Below are 19296 nucleotides of genomic sequence, written 5' to 3' on the forward strand. Positions count from 1 at the left end.
GCCAGACTCTGTCTCAAAAACAAAAACAAAACAAAACAAAAAATATATTAAAAAAAGAAAAAGGACTGGAAATATGCACACTATAAAGGGAAAGTGAGTATAATTAAATTTGGAAAGAGAATTTTCAGTTTTCCAGTGTTGTTTGACGTCCCTACAAGGAGATGTTTTTATGTGTGATTTTATGTGTGATTTAAAAATATGAAATAGTGTGCATAGGTGGGGACCTTCACGCCGAGGGAGAAAAAAATATAAGCAAAGGCATCAGGATGTGAAATGGAGTAGTTTATTAGTATGCAGTTTTTACACATAATAATGAGAAGGATGGTGGCTTAATGTGGCTTATATAGTCCTAAATTATTGGTTGTTATTCAGTTAAGGTAATGACATGTTTCAGTAGGTTTTTAAGTGAGTTAGGCAGATACAACTCTGGAAGCCAAGTAGTTGATGGATACTTTGGTTGGAAACCTAATTGATTTTTACATAGCCTCTCCAGAGCCAGCAAAGCCAGATGCTGCTTTGTGGTTATTCTTGAGATTTTTTTCCCCCTCTAAGACTATACAGTGTTTGCCAGGCAGGGGAGGATGGTGACCAGTTTGTATTTAAAAAAAAAAAGAAACAAGAAAAGGCACACAGCCATGCTGCTGGCTTAAAGTCTGTTACCTTTCCCAAAGTATATATATTCTGATAAAATCGGTGTTGTCTCCATATGAAAAGTATTATTACCCTCCTGCAAGCTTGCTTTAGGCACTATTCTGGGTAGAATAGACAGACACAGATGTTTAGACAGACTGAATCTCTTTCTCTGATTTAATTTTGCATTACAGGTAAACGCCATATGTAATGTGTAAGAGGCGGGTAGGTAAACATGCTCAACTGCAGTTTTTGGTTTTGTGTTCCGATGTGATCTGAGTATTTCGAAGCACTTATAATGCAGAGCGTACTATATGAAAGTTCTCATGATTTGGGAGCACACTCATAGTAAGGGCAAGGAACGTTCTTTCACATTGAAGTTCTAAAAATTAACTGTCTCAGTAATAAGACTTAAGCAAAAACAAAGTAAGACTAAGGAAAAGATGATAATTTTCAAATGCTTGCAAATGGGAGCCTCTACTCCCCATGTTTGTAAAATGTTTTACCTTATCTTCCATTCCTGGCATTAGGAGTCATTTTGGTTCGGGGCCATTTATTGAAGCTGATCTTTAATGAATGAATGAGACCCTTTATTTTCCAGTGATGCTGCTTTATTTTTGGGAAGTGGGAACAAAGGCCTGACATGCTACCATGGGTATAACTGTACAAATTTCAATGTTATTTGAAGAAATAGACATCTAAATGAAGAAATACTTTTAGTTGTTGACTTTAAAAGGTACAAATTATGCTGATGATTCTGTTTAAAATAACTAGATCATTTTTCTTTAGAGCAAAACAGACAACACTACAAATCTCTGATGTGTATTAAGTTTTCCTGAAAGGTAAACACTATTTTTTTTTTTAACTGTCTCAGCTTTTCTATTACATTTGTGTGTGTAGGGGGAGCTGGGTACAAAGAGAAAGCATGGTGAAGATGACTCAGAACAAAATGGGTGGCGTTTGTAAGACACAGGGAATTGCCTTTGAAGATTGTTGGCGTGTTTATTTATGCTAACTCCCACGATCTGAAAAAATAGCTGTAGCAGGCTCATTACTCTGTGGAAAAATAAAATTCATTTGACAGGATTAATTCATTTGAAACCCATGTGGTTTTCAAGGATCTTTAAAATAACATGAGATATTACAGCAATCCTTACTTTAACATTTTGATCTAAGCAAAGGCATGAAACAATTTAAATACACCCAGAATATGAAGTTTTAAATGTTACCGGAAAGTGTCTTTTCTTGACAATACTGGAACATTTTGGATGTTATGAACAGGTGCAAAATTATAGATTTGTGTTTTCAAACACTATTTGTGCGAAGTAGAATCCATGCAAGAACCGATTTTAAGAAACAAGTGGTGCTTCATCATTTCCAGAAATGGAGAGGAATTACAATATGCAAAACTAATGATAATAGCTCACTTATTTTAAGTTCTTTTTATATTCTTGACACTGTGATAAGCTCTCTACATATATTATTTCATTTATTCATAACAACCCTATGAGAAGGGTATAATTATTATCCAATTTTTTTTAGGGAAGGAAACCAAAGATTATAAAAGTTAACAGCTAATAAGTAATGAGGCCAGTATTTTTGCTTAGGTGGTCTGTGTATAGAATCCATGCTCTTAACTATTAGGATATGCTGATTCTAAAGCAATTAATAAATGTTGGTCTGAAATCAGTCTAATGGCACGCTGGAAACAGCTCTTAGACACTGCCAAGGGTTGATTGTTAGATATTTTGGATTTTTGTAAGCCAATTTGTAAACTTTGATACTTTGAAATCAGCAGTGATTGGAGTATTTACACCACAGAAATGGGCAAATGCTACAAATCAAGGCATTTTTTTTCAAGTCAGTTCACCAGCACACCATTTGATAACATAGCGCCCTTTCAGCAGTGCCAAAGTATAAGCCCTCACATTTTAAATGGATATAAATGAAATAAACACTTACATTAACAGTTTTTTTTACATTAGCATTTGTCTTGATCTCAAGAGGACAGACTATAATTAGTATGGTTAGAACTTTAAAAATGAAATTTAAGAGTATGTATTCCTAAATTCCAGAGTAGAAGAGAGTCCTTTTCCTAGCCTTTGAACTTTTATATGAGGATTTTAGAAAGAAAGCCCTTGTCTGGCCAACTGCAGACTTTAAATGCAGTTAGCTGTGCCAGATTTGAGAGGACTCTTTGCTGGCTGAAATTGTCTGAGCAGGAATGGAAAGTGATTGGGTTGGGTAAACAGGAGCCCATGATAGGAGGATGGCAGAAGCCAGAGAAGGAAATTTTATTTAAAAAAAAAAAACAAAACAGAACAAAACATGGGAACCAGTGGGGTTTGTGTGGTCTGAGTAAGCTTTGTGGCCTTATTGTGGGCATCATTTATCCATAAAATAATTTTAGCTTTAATTTGAGAACTCTAGTACTTGATTTTTCCTTGTAACCATAAAGCATCATTTTATGCTGTGATGAAAAATCATTCCAATGGTAGAGGTTCAATTTAATAAAAACTTAAAACAGTGTAAATTGTAATGTGGATGCATTGCATCAGCTTATCAAATTTATCCTCCCAGTGTTCTTTTTATGAAGAAAGCGTAACTTGCTTACATGTTGTGTTTAATGTATTTGTAATGTTCTTCTGATATGAAGATCCTCCATTGAACATTTGCTTGTACCTGGTTGGACTGCATACTGGATCCTGCTTGTCTAAGCGAAAGCATACATGATTAATAACTTACGGTTCTAACTCACCAATCAGTTCTTTTTCATTATTTATTATGATTTATTGGAAAACATTTCCATAAACTGAAAGAAAAGAAAGAAATGCATTCACAATTTAATCATCCAAACTGAATTTTCTTCCTTTTTTTCAATTTTATTTTTATTTTTTGAGAACAGGGTCTTGCTCTGTCACTCAGGTTTTCATACAGTGGTGTGACCATGGCTTACTGCAGCCTCAAACTCTTGGGCCCAAGCATTCCTCCTGCCTCAGCCCTCTGAATAGTTGGGACTACAGCCATGTGCCTTTTTTTATATTTAAAAAAAATTAAGGCCTGGCGCGGTGGCTCATGTCTGTAATCCCAGCACTTTGGGAGGCCGAGGTGGGGCGGATCACGAGGTCAAGAGATCGAGATCATCCTGGCTAACATGGTGAAACCCCCATCTGTATTAAAAATACAAAAATTAGCTGGGCTTGGTGGTGCATGCCTGTAGTCCCAGCTACTTGGGAGGCTGAGACAGAAGAATTGCTTGACTCCAGGAGGTGTAGGTTGCAGTGAGCCGAGATCGCACCATCGCACTCCACCCTGGGAAACACAGTGAGACTCCGTCTCAAAAAAAAAAAAAGAAATTAAAACATATATATGTTAATATATGGGAAGGACAAGTACTGCTCTCCTACGTGCATATATTGTGTAGTGGTAAGTCTGGGCTTCTAGTGCACCCATCACCTGAATCGTGAACAGCCAGTCAATTCTTATCCTGGTTCCTTCACCTCCTGAGTTGTGATTTTGAGAATCTGTGGTGTATTGATTGAGATAGCGGTTTAAGAGAAAGAGAAAAAAAGAAAACAGATGGAGGATGAAAAAATAAAGCAATACAGATATACACAGAACAGGACCAAGTTAGAGGCAAAATATAGCATCCAACTTGAATAAAACAAAGTAATCGCTACTTTGTGGATAAGGAGAAACCTGTGTTTGGGAATATTTTATACTAATTCAGTTTTATATTTGCTTATCTTTAATATTAATTTGAGACAACTATTATTTTTCTGTTCTTTAATTTTTTTATCAGCAAACTGAATGGTAAGTTAGAAATGAATGTATGAGAGTCAGAGAAATCTGGATTTTAATCCTTAGCGTGAAAATTTTATAACTCTGTGACTTTGGAAAAGGAATCTAACTTCTCTGTTTATCCTGTTCACACGAGTGATAGTAATAATCCTTACTATAGATGACCACAGGAATTATAGATACAGCTCCCAGGGCAATGCGTATCAGAGTAAGCTGTGTCTCCTTACATTTTCAGAGCTGTTATTGTTGCTCAATAAATGGCAGCTGTTGTTATCTGTGTTTTTGTTGTTGTTGTTGTTTTTGAGACGGAGTCTCGCTCTGTCGCCAGGTCTGGAGGGCAGTGGTGTGATCTTGGCTAACTGCAACCTCTGCCTCCTGGGTTCAAACTATTCTCCAGCCTCAGCCTCCTGAGTAGCTGGGATTACAGGCTTGTGCCGCTGCGTCTGGCTACTTTTTGTATTTTTAGTAGAGATGGGGTTTCACTATGTTGGCCAGGCTGAACTCAAACTCCTGACCTCAGGTGATCCGCCCACCTCGGCCTCCCAGAGTGCTGGGATTACAGGCGTGAGCCACCGCACCCGGCCACTATCTCTGGTTTTTTAAAATGTATTAAACATGAGGAGTAATGACAGTGTTTCTTGATGACTGGGGAACTTGCAGTAGAAAGTTGACAAATACTGTTTCTATGAAAGAAACTGGAGCCTCCTAAGGTAAGCTGGGTCTGGATGCTTGATGAAGATGATGCTGCTGACTGCTCTTCCTCTTTCTGTGCAGAATGTGCCCCCAGACCTCTCCATCTGCACCTTTGTGCTGGAGCAGTCCCTCTCTGTCCGGGCGCTGCAGGAGATGCTGGCTAACACCGTGGAGAAATCAGAAGGGGCAAGTACCCAATTTATGTAGACTTGTAGTATTTTAATGAGCTCAGCTACTATAGGAACAATTTCTTTCACAGGTGTCAGAGATTTTCTTTTTGCTAAAATAAGTCCATGCCTTTCAGTTGGAATGTCCTTAGGTTTGACTTTCTGCTTTATCTAGCATATTTGTGGTGTCTTGAAAACTAAAAAAATATATCCAAGCTTGATGTGATCTGTGTCACTAGGCCTCGTGCTTATGTCTGTTGTTTAAAACCGACCTTTCTTTGAGCGTTTCTGTGTTTCATTACATTTTCAGAGCTGTTATTGTTATTATTTTAACTCATAGCTTTATGCATGGCTATTTGTCATTAACCTTTATTTCATTTTCAAATGTCTGTCACTATGTGACTATGTTCTGAGCTTTTTCATGGAAAGTAAAATTTCATGGCACTGTTATATATTTTAAGTAACCAAATTTTGGTGATATGGCTTTAGGCTATTGTAATTTTGCAAACAGCTAATCCTTCTCCTCTGAAAATTGAAATTTTTCTTTTCTTTTTTTTGAGATGGAGTCTGGCTCTGTCACCCAGGCTGGAGTGCAGTGGCGCGATCTCAGCTCACTGCAAGCTCTGCCTCCCGGGTTCATGCCATTCTCCTGCCTCAGCCTCCTGAGTAGCTGGGACTACAGGCTCCTGCCACCACCACACCTGGCTATTTTTTTTTTTTTTTTCTATTTTTAGTAGAGACGGGGTTTCACCATGTTGGCCAGGATGGTCTTGACCTCCTGACCTCGTGATCTGCCCACCTTGGCCTCCCAAAGTGCTGGGATTACAGGCGTGAGCCACCGCGCCCAGCCCTGAAATTGTTATGTGGTTTCCTAATGCAAGTATTTTTCTTTCAAAGCCTATTTGGTTATTTTATTTTCAATGAGACTTCCTGTGACTGATATCTGGGCTGTTACCCAGTCTTAACCAATTTATTAAAGTTTAGAATTAAGCAGGAGGATTAATGGTCAAATTTTTTGTTTCCAGGTTTTTTAATTTTTATTTTTTGGTATGGTAATTACTGCAGTGTATGGTTTAATAAAGTGTAGTATTTCCAGAGAGAAAACTGAAAATTTTATTTTGCCATTATTGATCTATATGTTGCTGTTGTTATTAATCATTACTCTGGTCTGGATAAATAAAGAGATTAAAAAATGGTAATATATAAATGATTATCCATAGAAAGGAGTGATCAGTTATAACGTTATTTTCATCAGCCTTGTAGTTTTTAAAATTTTAGTGTCATGCAGCTTATGACTTTAGTTGATTTGTGCATTAATTCTAAATTAAATTTCAGCAGTGTACTATTAAGTAGGGAAGAGAAACTTTAGTGACTTTTGATATTAGACTAGAAGCTTATTTTACAAAAGCTTAGTATTTTAGTTTTTCAGGTTCATTTTTTGTTTACAACAAAGTTTGAAATTATTAAAATATATAAAGTTTCTTTTAAAAATTTCTATTCTTTCATGTAAACCTTCTCAGTTATGCTTAAGTTATGAAAGAGTAAAACAATTCTCAATTTAGTTTCATTTCTACCTGAAATAACCCCTCCTGATTTTTAAACATCCCTGAGTCATATCAACTTTGATATGCAAATCAGCTTTTATAAAGAAAGATCATTTTTATTTGGCATTAGCATTTAAAAAATGCATCTTGCCATTTCATCTGTCTTTATAGATAACAACTTAGAACTAAATTGCCATAAATTTAATTTTTTTATTGTTAAGTTGCGTTTTTTAAATTTAACAACTTTGAGAAGATCTTTTATCTTCTTCAAATCATGAGGTTGGGCTGGGCAAATTCTAAAGTTTCTTGAAATATAGGAAGTAATTTGAAATACTGTTTTAGGATTTATGGTTTTTTTGAGATGGGGTCTTGCTATATGGCCCAGGCTGGTCTTGAGCTCCTGAGCTCAAACAATCCTCCTGCCTCAGTCTCTGGAATATCTAGGATTACAGATGCATGCCACAGTGTACCCAGCTTCTAGGATTTATGTTTTCAAGACATTTATTAGTTAGAATTTCTGGATCTCCTCAAGTATTTTTATTTAGCTGAATTTAGTTTTGAATTGTTCACTCTCTAGAATGTCTCCATCACAGATAAAGTAGTAATTTGTGTGATGTGTTGAACACTATTTTATAAAGCGCAGTATAGTTACCATAAGACATGAATTAGGAAGTATAATTTGAGGAAAAACTGCTACAAGGAATAAACACATTGCATGAAGCTGAAACCTATTTCTGGTTATTAGTAACTTTTAGAAAGAAACCAATGTCAAATAGCTCAACGGGGTACCGTATATTAGGGAAAAATGAAAGTTTCTCTCATACTGCTGAGTATTTTTGATTATACCCAGAAATGATATTCATTCCTAGCTTGCCACAGGTGATGCCAGTTAATGAGCACAGCCCCAGCCACAGCGTTGGAGGAGGAGTTCTGGAGGCCTCTATTGTATTTATGGATTTGGAGGTAGCCCGAGCAACGGGGGGTGTCCTGGAGGACCCCTGGGGTGGTCAGGGTTAGGGAGCACTGTGGGGACTTGCGGCAGCAACTGTTTACCAAGAAGGATAGATATTTTCCACTTAACCATTTTATTCATAAGGATGTGCACCAGCTAGATATCATGTCTGATGATATGTGACTCATGGATGCTGCTGGCACTTGTAGGAACCAAGTCTTCTGAACTCCAAATATCATCTTTTCTAGTGCCTTATAATGTCCCCTTTACACTCATTATGGAACTCTAATGGGGAATTTTTTTATCAATCAAATTACTATCTCCAGGTTAATAAATCATGTGTAGTTTGCTTAAATGAAGAGCCACTTTTCCTAGGATGAAGTGTGTCAGGAAGGTAATGTGAATTTTCAAGAAATCATTTCTTTCCTTTCAGATGAACAGTGAGTCAAAAAGAACCTCGTGTTGCCCTGATTCCCAACTCTTTCATAATCAACTTTCTTTACGAAGCCCTGTTCTTTTTTATTTAATAATTCTTCTTTAATTTCTTACGTAATTCAGTAAATTAAACAATACTTATACTATTTCATGTCCAAAATGTTATATGCACATAGCAATACAAACACACTTGATGATAAGGAAAATTTTTCCATTTAGAACCATGCCTTTGTTTTTTGTGGTTAAGGACCATTTTGCTAGTATTCTTGGGTCATGAATAAATACATGGTTTTCATAAAATGGTTAAGGAAACTTAGCAGAAAACTCCCAATGTCATTTGTGACAAAGTAAATCATGAACATTACGATAACAGAAGAAGATGTGTAAGATGAAATGGGAGAAAATATTACCTAATGTATGAAGTTTTGGTTCCCTAAAAAGTTGCTTATTGTGACTATTAGTAAAATAACTCATATTTTTGTGGCACCAAAATCATTCTGAAGGATTTCATCTAAGTGGATTTTCTAAAATGTCTGTTTAATTAAAATATATATATATATATATATGTTAAAAGAGAGACCTAGATCCAGTATTTATATAATTACATTGACTATCATTTAGCTTTTATTCTTATTAAAATCATGTCAATAGTAAATAGGCCAAGACCTGTCTATCTCAGTAGCTGCCCACAGAAGCTTTCAGATCTTGAGGATGGAGACAGTACACAGGCAACGAGAAGGAGAAGGTGTCTGTTGAGCAGCAACCATCTCTTTGGCCCCGTTTTCTCTGGGCGTCTGCCTATGCACATTCTGGCTTCTGCTGTTCTTTCTATTTCCCCCACTGGGTTTTCTGTGGTTCTGGATAACTTGTCGCTTGCAGATCTACCTCTGTATTGCTCTTCTTGCTCTTCAGATCTATTTTGCGTATGGATGATATAGCATAGGGTTAAAAACAGGGGTTTATTGTCTTAGAGAACTGCTTGAGAATACCAGTTCTGCCATAGTTAGCTCTGTGGCTTTGGGAAAGATAACTTTATCATCAAGGCTTAGTAATTATTAAATGATGGTGCATGTTATTATTGTTTTATTTATTCTTTTTTGTATACTTTTAAACTCCCTGGGTTGGACTGCTATTAATTCCTGACTGCCTTTTCTCTGGGCTTGATGGCTTTCTTCCTTCTCTGGGACATAGCCAGTCCAGTTCCCACTTCCTCCCCTCGACCCCAGTATTCTCATCAATCCTGGCACATGTAGTTTGCCGATTTAATGATGCCGCAGCAGTGTTAGAATAGAGAGTTGATGATAGCATTTGCTTGTTTCCATGTGTTTTGTAGTTAATAAAGTTTCATAATTTAAGTAATATTGTGCTTTTGGCTATTCCTTTTATCTTAATTCACAAAATTATGATAGACACTTTTCTCTCACACAACTTTATTTGTAATGCCAAAGTTAATTTAAGGATTTCATCTCCTATGAGCACAGATATCAAGTGAGAGGTGACGTAGTATAGTAGAAAGGGCTTTGGTTTTGGAGTCCAGGAAATTTACTGAAAGTTCTTTTTCAAATAATATTTATAATAATTATCATCTGTTGAAAAGGCGTTGCTTTGGTTTAATGCCATGAGTCCAATATATGGCTTGTATATTCTGTTGAGGACAGCGTATTTTAAAATACACGTTGAGTGTCCTTTCTGTCTTTCGGGTGAATTATTTCTGGGGGGATTGTAGGACCCTGTCCTTTTCAACTTTAGCTTATGGCCACTTGACTGGGTCCCTTTATTATTAGAATATTGTAGATTGAACTAGAGAAAAAATTAAAATTAATCATTCTTTGCTCCTTACATCGTGCTCTTTGATGGAGTAATAGATTAACATTTATAATTCAGGTGATTATGATTTGGATCATTCATTCATTTGCTATATAATCCTCATGATCGTGGGTATTGGTAGTTTACCGCTATGTAAGTTATGGATGATACTTTAAAAATCTATAAAATTCACAATGTAATGTTATAAATATTGTGATGAGCAAATAATATTGAAATGAATATTAAATAAATCCAATTCTAATCATTTGGTGCTTTTTCAACATTTATAAGGTAACTTATATCTTATAAAGGTTCTATGTATAGAAATTTAAGTGTTTTTTTGTCATCAATGAGTTTACAACTGCAGGGATAGAAAAACAATTATAGTATAATTTCATGTATGTTATAGAAGTATATATAATTATCATGTTGGCATGAAGAAGGAATTGTGTACGTGGAACTTGTTGTTCCTTTACATTTTCTTGGCACTTTTTAGAATCATTTCCAAAACTATTAGAAGTAATATTAAAACTATTAATAGAAAAATCATTTCAAAATTTTTTCCAAGGAACAATTTGAGCTCATTAGGCAATTCCTTAAAATTTTAATAGAAAATAATACTTGTCAGGAAGACAATCCAAAACATGTCCAGAGATATTCTTAAAATGATTTTTATGTTTCAGTTTAGTAAAATGGCTTATTGTTTTATAAGAAACTGTAATGATGTTTCCTCTTTCTAAATTATGTACTGTCTTCAAAGTACAAAATATTACAATGACTTAATTATTAACAGAGGTATAGATCAGACTCAGACATGTCCAGCTTTTATGAAAAATGGAGCTGTAGAATGTGGAGTAGTAAAAAACTTGTGTTGGCTGGGCACGGTGGCTCACGCCTGTAATCCCAGCACTTTGGGAGGCCGAGGTGGGTGGATCACTTGAGGTCAGGAGTTTGAGACCAGCCTGGCCAATGTGGAGAAACCCCGTCTCTTATGAAAAATACAAAAATTAGCTGGGTGTGGTGGCGCACACCTGTAATCCCAGCTACTCGGGAGGCTGAAGCAAGAGAATCGCTTGAACCCAGGAGATGGAGGTTGTAGAGAGCAGAGATTGCACCACTGTTCTCCAGCCTGGGCAACAAAGTGAGACTCCATCTCTAAATAAATAAATAAATTAATTAATTAATTAAATAAAACACTTGTGTCATTCTTTTTATAAAACCCCTATCTCTTTAAGACATGTACTCTAAGAACATTCAAAAATGCATGGGGCTGGGCACGGTGGCTCACACCTGTCATCCCAGCAATTTGGGAGGCTGAGGCATGTGGATCACTTGAGGTCAGGAATTCGAGACCAGCCTAGCCAACATGTTGAAACCCCATCTCTACTAAAACCACAAAAAATTAGCCAGACGTGGTGACACGTGCCTGTAATCCCAGCTACTTGGGAGGCTGAGGCACGAGAATCACTTGAACCCGGGAGGCGGATTTTGCAGTGAGCCCAGATCGTGCCACTGCACTCCAGCCTGGGCAACAGAGCGAGTATCCATCTCAAAAAAAAAAAAAAAAAAATGCAGTGGGAAGCAACTGGCTAAATTTACTGGTAAATAAATTAAAAAAATACATTTGTGAAGCACTGAAGCCCCATAAATTACTTTTTAAAAGTACATTTATCAAACACTGAAGCTCCAATTTCACACAAGTAATTGCATCTAAGATCATTTTATATAAATGCAAGAGCAAAAGATGAAGAAGATCTGTGTATTATCTCATAGTGGTTAAAGCTCATAGATTATAGTACAAACTCCCTGAGTTCATTTCCTGGTAACATAAGTGACTTAACCTTTCTGTGCCTCAATTTTCTCATTTATAATGTGGGGAAAATAATAGCATCTCCCTTTGTTGTGGGAATCAAATAATATAAGTAAAGTGTGTAGAACAATCGTGGCATGCAAGAAGCACTATGAGTATGCTGTCATCATTGTGATGGTCTCTGCATTGAGTATGCCTGAGTAAGCTCCTATCAGATCTGATCCTTCTGAAGAAAATAACTATAATCTCTGGACAAAATACAAAAACAAAACTACACCCACAATAATAAAACCTTCAATTACCTGAAGCCCCTAGCTATAGTTGCTCTATGGCCGCCTTTACAAGTTACCGCTAAGTTGGTGGCTTAAAACAACATACATTTATTATTTTCTAGCGTTAGAGGTCACAAGTCTAAAATCAATCTCCATTGGCTAAAATCAGGGTGTTGGCAGCACTGCATTGCTTCCAGGGACTCTAGGGAAAAATCTGTTTCCTTGCCTTTTCTAGCCTGCATTCTTGGCTTGTGACCCATCCTCCACCCTCAAAGCCAGCAGTGACCTACCATGTCACATCGTCACAGGTGCCAGGGATTAGGATGTGGATGGTTCCGGTGTGCCATTATGTGGGCTACCCTATCATGGATGTGCTGAGCTCGAGTAAGATGTTATTGACAAGATCAAATGGAAGTCAGAACAATCTAGTTGAAAAATGACTGAAAAGTCTACTTTTTGATTTGACAGGAGCCTGATTTTCTTGCAAACCGATCAATAGGAATTTCAGTCTGTCTTATGTACATACCAATTTATAGATTCACATACATTTTGTATTTAACGGGCTTCATTCTCTGAAGGTTTTCTGAGTTTCCAGTAGTTAATCACATGATTTAGAATTTAAATTTAAGTATATTTTCATATTGCATGCATAGTAGACACTAATTACTTTTAACAATAACATTAATCAAAAATAACTAAAAAAATGAGGATATATATAAATGCAATTTGTTGAGTTCCTATCGTATTCCAGACAGGCATCTTCCTAAGCCATGAATACAAAATAGTGAGTGTGGTATTATTTTTCTTTGTTAATAGCAGCCTGTTCAGTCTTTGGCTATAGTCTCTTCTGTGTCAGGTAACAGTATTTGAAGTATGGTCACAGTTCCAACAGTAGATCTTCATATTTCTTTTACATCCTCATTCTTCTGGTATTATGGTATCTGCTCAGAGGCACTACATCGTAAAGCCTTTTTTGTTCAAGCTTTAGGGCAGATAGATCAAGGATCAAAATGAAAAGAGTTAATGTTGTGTCCACGCTAGTTGAGTTTTATATTAATGATTTCTTTCCATTAAAGCACATTGGGGTAATGTGGAGGAAAAGGAGTTGATGAATTTTGTAGTTCATATGATATAAATTGTGTTCTGTATATTATTAAAAGTAAATTTCTCAAATGGCAGGGCTAATGACTCACTGGAAAAAAATGAGGTTTAACACTTGATGTTCATCCATTTTCAAATATGCTCTGTATGAGTCTCCATTAAGTCTCTGTATAAGTCTTCTGTATTTTAATTCTGTAAAATACAGAATTAAACTCCATTAAAATACAGAATTAGTATGTAAAACTGTGACCATACTTTAAATAGTGTAAATGTAGAGATACCTGCCACTGAAGAGACTATAGCCAAAGAATGAACAGGCTCCTATTAACAAAGAAAAATAATACCACACTCATCATGTTTTATTTGTGTTTCAGGAAGATGCCTGCTTGGAATATGATAAGAACTCAACAAATTGAGCATTTATATATATCTTCATTTGTTTATTTAGTTATTTTTAATTAATGCTATTGTTAAAAGTAATTAGTGTCTATTATGCATGCAATATGCAAATATACTTAAATTTAAATTCTAAATCATTGAAATGTTTTATTTTTATAACAGTAATATATGAGTATAAAATAAAAATGCCCTCTTCATAGTCCTCATTCCCCCCTAAGATAACCACAGCTAAAAGATTAGTATATAGCCATCTATAACTTTATACATAAAAATATTATTATATAAATGGAATCATATACTGTCTTGTCATCTTTTACCACCTAATTATATATGGTTTTTAAAAAATCAGGACACAAAATGTCCAGAGGAAGAGAAGATTCAGATTTAGTTGATCCAAGCTCTAGGTGAGATTTCTGTAGTTCTCTTTGCCCTGTTCTGTGTTTGCTTGGTTCACAGGCTAGCTTCCCTCATGATTACAGGATACCTTGTAGGAATTTCAGGGATGATATCCAAAGGCAACATCATCTATAGGCACAAAAAGGAGCTGACTTTCTTTATTTCTAAAAGCAAGGCACTTTCCCCAGGAATTCCCTGGCAGAATTTCCCTCATACCCATTGTCACACACCCATAGCTAATTTATTTACTCGCAAGAGAAAATGGGGCCAGCACAACTGGCTCCGACCATGGGGATGGCAATAGGGAAGGATACTTTGAAGAACTAGGTTCTTTTATTGGGAGAAGGAAGAGAACTGCATGTGAAAATGAAGGTCAGATAATTTCTAACATTGTCTGCTACATCATATAGCAGATACATAGTTAGCATCTGTATGCTTTCACTGGAAATGTTTATATTTGGGACCCTCCATGTTCTTGAGCCAAACTAGGACCAACAAGTAAAATCTTTGCCTATGAAAACAAATCCAACTCTGTGCTCAGGTGTCTCCATGACCAAGAAATAGAAAGCGCATGTCCATTCTCCACCTGTCTCATTCGTACAGTGTTCATTCAACAAAAATAGATTGAGTTGCTTTTGTGCATTCTGGAGCTAGGGGGACAGGTATGAATAACAATGCCTCCTTGCTCTTGAGAATCTTAGCAATCTAATAATAAAGAGAGAAGATAAATATAATGTGGTATGAATCTGCTTTCATAGTAAATAGTTCAATCAGAGAGCAGAGAAGAGATCTAATTACCTACCCAACACTCTCCCCTTGTACGTCCTCATAACTGTGAAATGCTGAATGGATTAGTGTGTGTTTATATTGTAGACAATACGATGCTACTAGCTATTTATATCTGAAACTTCTATTCTCAAATATCTAGTCTAACTTAACCTTATTTTAAGAGGCTGTGTTCTGTTACCTACCTATTGAAGAACATCCTTGGTAAAGCATAAATAGTACTTCAATAATTAGATTATAATGCCAATAAATTCACAAATTTACTAATTAATGTAATATTTAGCCAGCATCTTGTCCAAAGCCTCTGTATATAAATATTTACCTACCTGTCATCTGCAAAATTGATGCAGTGATGTAATGGTGAATGTGATTATAATCTCTTGAAGGGTTCATAGCTAAAAATATTCACTGAGCAACAATTATCCATCTGTCACTTAGGTGAATGTGGAAATTTGTCTGTGGTTGAAAGATGCATCTTTCAGTTTTACTGCCTTTCTGTTTCTAGAAAGACAACTTTCTACTCAGAAGCCAAGGATATTCCATATTTCTAAGTATTTGAATGACGTGGTTTCCAGACTCTGTCATCAAACTCAATAAAGACGTCAATTTAAGCAGGATGTAATTTAATCACAGTGGCGTAGTTAGGCACTGTTTTAGATTATGAATCTTAAATGTATAGATTATTTTATTTGATTAGTCTCATTCAATTTGGACATCTTCCTCAGCTATTTGTGTGTGTTTATAATAGAAAAAATTTTCATTTGTAAACATATGATAGCAAATAAATGACATGGCATATTTCTGATTCAATCTTAATAAACTATTCTGCAATTTATGAGTGACTTAAAGATATGTGGAACCTATTGAGTCAGCCATTCTCAAACATTTTTCTTTTTTGAGATAGAGTCTCATTCTGTCACCCAGGCTGGAGTGCAATGGTGCAATATCCTCCCCAAAAAACAAACACAAAAGCAAAAACAACAATTAACACTCCTTCCTGCATTTTTTTGGTGTGTTTTCTTCAAAGCACTGAACACCTTCTGAAGACTATGTATTCGCGGTCTGTTTATTGCCTTCCTATCCCCATTAGAGTGTAAATCTCAGGAATGCAGGTCTTTGGGTCTGTGGTATTCGCTTGCTATACCACTAACATCCAAGACAATGCATGTTATGTACTAGGTAGTAAGGAAATATTTGCTGACTGGAGGGACTGCAAGATGGAATTTATAGACCAAAATCAAGGGGCTGAAAAGTACCAAAAATTCTGTTTCTGCTACTGTAGTAACAGTTTTGAACATATGATAGAGCTTTTTTGTCTGTTAAATACAGCTGTTTTTGAATTGCCTCTCTATTGTGGGAGAAAAGGAATGTTTTTGAAAGGAAAAGTCAGAAAATAACCTTTTGGGTTCGGTAATCCTCCATCCTCATTTGCCTGACACAGTCCAGGTTAATACCTGTGGTCACAGCATAATCACTATTAGTTCCCCCTTTCGTTGTCCAAAGTGTCCCAGTCTGGATGAGAAATTACATGGTTATCCCTAGTCATGGTGTCTTTGTGAATCAGATAAAACTTATAGAATCTATTTACAGAAGGCAATACAAATAATATGCACGCATACAAAATCTTGTATTTCATCTCTGATTTGAAGACTTAAAAGAAGTCTTCCTTTTTGTTGAGTTAAATAACTTCCTTTTTTTTTTTTGAGTTAATTCTTGCTCTGTTATCCATGCTGGAGTGCAGTGGTATGATCATAGCTCTCTGCAGCCTCCAATGCTGGGTCTCAAGGGATCTTCCTGCCTCCTGAGTAGCCAGGACCACAGGCACAAGCCACCATGCCTGGCTAATTAATTTTTTTTTTTTTTTTTTTTGGTAAAGATAGGTTCTTGGTATATTGCCCAGGCTGTCCTTGAACTCCTGACCTTAAGTGATCCTCCCACCTTAACCTCCCAAAATGTTGGGATTACAGGTGTGAGCCACCTCACCCCACTCATACAACCTCTTTAGTGATTGTTGCAGTCACACATTCTGAGAAGATACACTTTTTTGCAAGTAATCCCTGAAGTGTGAGAGAAGGGCAAAGACCAGCAGGATCTACATAACTTGAGGATTACAGAGACCAGATGGAACATTCTGAGAGTGAGCATGAGGTCAGTACTCGTAGTACAAACTGATTACTTTCATGTGGCTTCTGAGATCAGGCCACATGTGACCCATGACTTCCTGGTGAAGCATTAAGTCTTAAGACCACGTGGAACTGTAGAAGGGTCCTTTGCTGGAACCAGAAACCTTAGAACTGTCCTTAGACCACTGAAAAAAGTACAAAGAGCAGCGCAGCAAGAACACACAGAATGGGCCTAATATTGCCGCGCACTGATTTCCATAGCCCTGGAAAATGTGAGCCATATGTGAGACAAGAAGAACATATTGAAAGCCTTGCAGTATCTGACAAAAGAGAAAAGTAGGCCAGGCGCTGTGGCCCACGCCTGTAATGCAAGCACTTTGGGAGTCTGAGGTGGGAGGATCACTTGAGCCCAGGAGTTTGAGACCAGCTTGGGCAACGTGGTGACACTGTCTCTACAAAAGATAAAAAAAATTAGCTGGACATGGTGGCTAATAGCCATAGCCAGCATACCTATAGACCCAGCTACTTCAGAGGCTGAGGTGGTGGGATTGCTTGAGCTTGGGAGATCGAGGCTGCGGTGAGCTGTGTTTGTGCCACTACACTCCAACCTGGGTGACAGAGCGAGATGCTGTCTCAAAAAAAAAAAGCATCCCAAATCTCACACAACAATGAATGAGATTGGACAATGCAAAGATAAAGCTAAATGAAAGTTAAATAACACGAGAGATCACAGAAGAAACAGCAGCTAAACCAGCAAAATTAAATACTTCATAAGCTGGTGTTAATTGCATTTGTTCACTCTATTGATATATGATGAGTAACCACGTTCTAGATTCTGTGTAGAGTAAATAGTGAGAGCGAGCTGAATTGCTACAGAGGCCTCTTCCAGAATAGGACATAAATGGAGCGTGTGCATTGTAGTGTATAAACACTCAATAAGTGATTTTTTTTTTCAGATGAAGAAATAGAAACAATGTACCAAGGTCAGCGATTAAAAATAGTGATTATCTTTACACAGTCATGGACTGGAAGTTTTGTTTCTAATAGTTTCCAGAATAGAAGTATTTGTGTGAATGACAATTATATGACATGTAAGGAAATTAATTATATCATTTATTGATTCTTGAGGTACAGGCTCTAAAGCTCCAGCATGGATTTGATGTGGATGGTACTAATGATACAGATATTTAAGTTTTGTTGATTTGTATGTAGTTTCCCCATAAGAGGTTTTTTGTTTTTTTTTTTTTTTTGAGACAGAGTTTACTTCTCATTGCTCAGGCTGGAGTGCTATGGCATGGTCTTGGCTCACTGCAACCTCTGCCTCCTGGTTTAAAGCGATTCTCCTGCCTCAGCCTCCCAAGTAGCTGGGATTGCAGGCACCCACCACCACGCCTGGCTAATTTTTGTGTATTTTTAGTACAGATGGGGTTTCTCCATGTTGGCCAGGCTGGTCTCGAACTCCTTACCTCAGGTAATCCGCCGGCCTTGGCCTCCCAAAGTGCTGGGATTACAGGCGTGAGCCACCACGCCTGGCCCCCATAAGGGGTTTTTAGTTCCTCGGGAAACTATTCAAGCATTGGTTAGGAAGAAATATGTGCAGCTGGGTGAATCCAGCTAATGATCGGATTATTCTCATGGCGTTTTGCCGGGGGCTGCCTTGATGATGTCTTCTTGGATCTAGGTCTTTAACTTGTCTGTAACTATTGCACGCTGTCCCTCCAGCAGACCGTTCCTAATTTAACTGCTATCCTGTGACCTCAGTTCTTACAAAGGAATCTAAAACTGTAACCTTTCTTTATTTCTGGCTCCAATTAGTTCTTTATACTATTCGTTCTCTATCCAAACTGAACTCACTCCCTGAATATGCTACACTTAATTCAGGTATATATTCTCCACATTCTTACTACACTAATTCCTCAACCTAGAATTCTGAGCCTTTCAAAAGTTTACCACCCCTCGCTTCTCTGCAAATGTCCAAGGAGTTGTCTTCCTTAAACACTTTCATGAAGCTCCCAGCCAGAAGTAATATTTCTACTCGTAGAGTTCCTTATCACTGGGTGTTCACATTTTCTTATTTTTGTCTCTCATTTTATATAGTGATTATTTGGTATGTATTTTATACATTTTATTTACATTAGAATATGGTTTTGTTCAATGTCCATTCTTTAACCAACACCACATTGTCTTGATTACTAGTAGCTTTATAGTAAGTCTTTTTTATTTATTTATTTATTTTTTGAGACAGAGTCTCGCTCTGTCACTGGGCTGGAGTGCAGTGGCACCATCTTGGTTCACTGCAACCAACCTCTGCCTCCCGGATTCAAGCAGTTCTCCTGCCTCAGCCTCCTGAGTAGCTGGGACTACAGGTGCGCACCACCACA

The 19296-nt window shown here is 36.9% G+C and overlaps 1 protein-coding gene across 18 annotated transcripts in view; it reads left to right on the forward strand.

Moving 5' to 3' along the window:
• The window catches only part of RYR2 (ryanodine receptor 2), a 791805-nt gene that overhangs the window by 283489 nt on the left and 489020 nt on the right, over positions 1–19296 (forward strand). For all 18 annotated transcript variants that reach the window (XR_007062490.1, XR_002957299.2, XM_006711802.4 and 15 more), the window contains exon 3: positions 5206–5310. Coding sequence is in view for 16 of the 18 variants with exons in the window: in XM_006711802.4 (XP_006711865.1) it covers positions 5206–5310 (105 nt within the window). In the remaining 2 variants the exon portion in view is untranslated. The remainder of the gene's footprint in view (positions 1–5205; positions 5311–19296) is intronic.

Source organism: Homo sapiens, chromosome 1 (assembly GCF_000001405.40).
Source record: "Homo sapiens chromosome 1, GRCh38.p14 Primary Assembly".
Lineage (NCBI taxonomy): Eukaryota > Metazoa > Chordata > Mammalia > Primates > Hominidae > Homo > Homo sapiens.